At 43.6% G+C, this 3,575-nt stretch overlaps 1 annotated feature.

Annotated features, from left to right (window-relative positions):
• Window positions 2,736-3,236: an enhancer, noted in NCBI's record as "H3K4me1 hESC enhancer chr3:35496170-35496670 (GRCh37/hg19 assembly coordinates)". NCBI's record gives its function as "activates a minimal SCP1, AML or CMV promoter by ChIP-STARR-seq in primed H9 embryonic stem cells {active_cell/tissue: H9 hESC(primed)}" and the evidence as "EXISTENCE:reporter gene assay evidence [ECO:0000049][PMID:30033119]".

Genomic DNA, 3,575 nt, shown 5'->3' with positions numbered 1-3,575 from the left:
CCTTTTATTGGTCTATTCAGAGATTCAACTTCTTCCTGGTTTAGTCTTGGGAGGGTGTATGTGTCGAGGAATTTATCCATTTCTTCTAGATTTTCTAGTTTATTTGCGTAGAGGTGTTTGTAGTATTCTCTGATGGTAGTTTGTATTTCTGTGGGATTGGTGGTGATATCCCCTTTATCATTTTTTATTGCATCTATTTGATTCTTCTCTCTTTTCTTCTTTATTAGTCTTGCTAGCGGTCTATCAATTTTGTTGATCCTTTCAAAGAACTAGCTCCTGGATTCATTAATTTTTTGAGGGGTTTTTTGTGTCTCTATTTCCTTCAGTTCTGCTCTGATTTTAGTTATTTCTTATCTTCTGCTAGCTTTTGAATGTGTTTGCTCTCGCTTTTCTAGTTCTTTTAATTGTGATGTTAGGGTGTCAATTTTGGATCTTTCCTGCTTTCTCTTGTGGGCATTTAGTGCTATAAATTTCCCTCTACACACTGCTTTGAATGTGTCCCAGAGATTCTGGTATGTTGTGTCTTTGTTCTCGTTGGTCTCAAAGAACATCTTTATTTCTGCCTTCATTTTGTTATGTACCCAGTAGTCATTCAGGAGCAGGTTGTTCAGTTTCCATGTGGTAGAGTGGTTTTGAATGAGTTTCTTAATCCTGAGTTCTAGTTTGATTGCACTGTGGTCTGAGAGACGTTTGTTATAATTTGTGTTCTTTTACATTTGCTGAGGAGAGCTTTACTTCCAACTATGTGGTCAATTTTGGAATAGGTGTGGTGTGGTGCTGAAAAAAATGTATATTCTGTTGATTTGGGGTGGAGAGTTCTGTAGATATCTATTAGGTCCGCTTGGTGCAGAGCTGAGTTCAATTCCTGGGTATCCTTGTTAACTTCCTGTCTCATTGATCTGTCTAATGTTGACAGTGGGGTATTAAAGTCCCCCATTATTATTGTGTGGTTGTCTAAGTCTCTTTGTAGGTCACTCAGGACTTGCTTTATGAATCTGGGTGCTCCTGTATTGGGTGCATATATATTTAGGATAGTTAGCTCTTGTTGTTGAATTGATCCCTTTACCATTATGTAATGGCCTTCTTTGTCTCTTTTGATCTTTGTTGGTTTAAAGTCTGTTTTATCAGAGACTAGGATTGCAACCCCTGCCATTTTTTGTTTTCCATTAGCTTGGTAGATCTTCCTCCATCCTTTTATTTTGAGCCTATGTGTGTCTCTGCACATGAGATGGGTTTCCTGAATACAGCACGCTGATGGGTCTTGACTCTTTATCCAATTTGCCAGTCTGTGTCTTTTAATTGGAGGGTTTAGTCTATTTACATTTAAAGTTAATATTGTTATGTGTGAATTTGATCCTGTCATTTTGATGTTAGCTCGTTATTTTGCTCGTTACTTGATGCAGTTTCTTCCTAGCCTCGATGGTCTTTACAATTTGACATAATTTTGTAGTGGCTGGTACCAGTTGTTCCTTTCCATGTTTAGTGCTTCCTTCAGGAGCTCTTTTAGGGCAGGCCTGGTGGTGACAAAATCTCTCAGCATTTGCTTGTCTGTAAAGGATTTTATTTCTCCTTCATTTGTGAAGCTTAGTTTGGCTGGATATGAAATTCTGGGTTGAAAACTCTTTTCTTTAAGAATGTTGAATATTGGCCCCCACTCTCTTCTGGCTTGTAGAGTTTCTGCCAAGAGATCTGCTATTAGTCTGATGGGCTTCCCTTTGTGGGTAAGCCGACCTTTCTCTCTGGCTGCCCTTAACATTTTTTCCTTCATTTCAACTTTGGTGAATCTGACAATTATGTGTCTTGGAGTTGCTCTTGTCGAGGAGTATCTTTGTGGCATTCTCTATATTTCTTGAATCTGAATGTTGGCCTGCCTTGCTAGATTGGGGAAGTTCTCCTGGATAATATCCTGCAGAGTGTTTTCTAACTTGGTTCCATTCTCCCTGTCACTTTCAGGTACAGCAATCAGACGTAGATTTGGTCTTTTCACATAGTCCCATATTTCTTGGAGGCTTTGTTCATTTCTTCTTATTCTTTTTTCTCTAAACTTCCCTTCTCGCTTCATTTCATTCATTTCATCTTCCATCACTGATACCCTTTCTTCCAGTTGATTGCATCAGCTCCTGAGGCTTCTGCATTCTTCACATAGTTCTCGAGCCTTGGCTTTCAGCTCCATCAGCTACTTTAAGCACTTCTCTATATTGGTTATTCTAGTTACACATTTGTCTAAATTTTTTTCAAAGTTTTCATCTTCTTTGCCTTCGGTTTGAATTTCCTCCTGTAGCTCGGTAGTTTGATCGTCTGAAGCCTTCTTCTCTCAACTCGTCAAAGTCATTCTCCATCCAGCTTTGTTCCATTGCTGGTGAGGAACTGCGTTCCTTTGGAGCAGATCTGTTGGAGTTTGATAGAGGTCCACTCCAGACCCTGTGTGCCTGGGTATCAGCAGTGGTGGCTGCAGAACAGCGGATTTTCGTGAACCGTGAATGCTGCTGTCTGATCGTTCCTCTGGAAGTTTTGTCTCAGAGGAGTACCCGGCCGTGTGAGGTGTCAGTCTGCCCCTACTGAGGGGTGCCTCCCAGTTAGGCTGCTCGGGGGTCAGGGGTCAGGGACCCACTTGAGGAGGCAGTCTGCCTGTTCTCAGATCTCCAGCTGCATGCTGGGAGAACCCCTGCTCTCTTCAAAGCTGTCAGACAGGGACATTTAAGTCTGCAGAGGTTACTGCTGTCTTTTTGTTTGTCTGTGCCCTGCCCCCAGAGGTGGAGCCTACAGAGGCAGGCAGGCCTCCTTGAGCTGTGGTGGGCTCTGCCCAGTTCGAGCTTCCCGGCTGCTTTGTTTACCTAAGCAAGCCTGGGCAATGGCGGGCGCCCCTCCCCCAGCCTGGCTGCTAACTTGCAGTTTGATCTCAGACTGCTGTGCTAGCAATCAGCGAGACTCCATGGGCATAGGACCCTTCGAGCCAGGTGCGGGATATAACCTCCTGGTGCGCCGTTTTTTAAGCCTGTTGGAAAAGCACAGTATTAGGGTGGGAGTGACCTGATTTTCCAGGTGCTGTCTGTCACCCCTTTCTTTGACTAGGAAAGGGAACTCCCTGACCCCTTGCGCTTCCCGAGTGAGGCAATGCCTCTCCCTGCTTCGACTCACGCATGGTGCGCTGCACCCACTGTCTTGCCCCCACTGTCTGGCACTCCCTAGTGATATGAACCGGGTACCTCAGATGGAAATGCAGAAATCACCCATCTTCTGCATCGCTCACGCTGGGAGCTGTAGACTGGAGCTGTTCCTATTCGGCCATCTTGGCTGCCAGCACCCACCTACCTAGGCCTCCAATCTCTTCTAGCTTGTTGAGTTTTGGCTGACAGGTCTGCTGTTAGTTTAATGAGCTTCCCTTTGTAGGTGATCTGCCTCTTCTTTCTTGCTGCCTTTAACATTTTGTGTTTCATTTCAGCCTTAGAGAATCTGATGACTATGTATCTTGGGAATGGTTTTTTTGTATAATATTTTGCAAGGCTTCTCTGCATTTCCTGAATTTTAATGTTGGCCTCTCTAGCAAGGTTGGGGAAATTTTCATGAATGATATC

Source organism: Homo sapiens, chromosome 3, assembly GCF_000001405.40.
Source record: "Homo sapiens chromosome 3, GRCh38.p14 Primary Assembly".
Classification (NCBI taxonomy): domain Eukaryota; kingdom Metazoa; phylum Chordata; class Mammalia; order Primates; family Hominidae; genus Homo; species Homo sapiens.
This window is presented reverse-complemented; position numbering and strand designations above follow the sequence as displayed.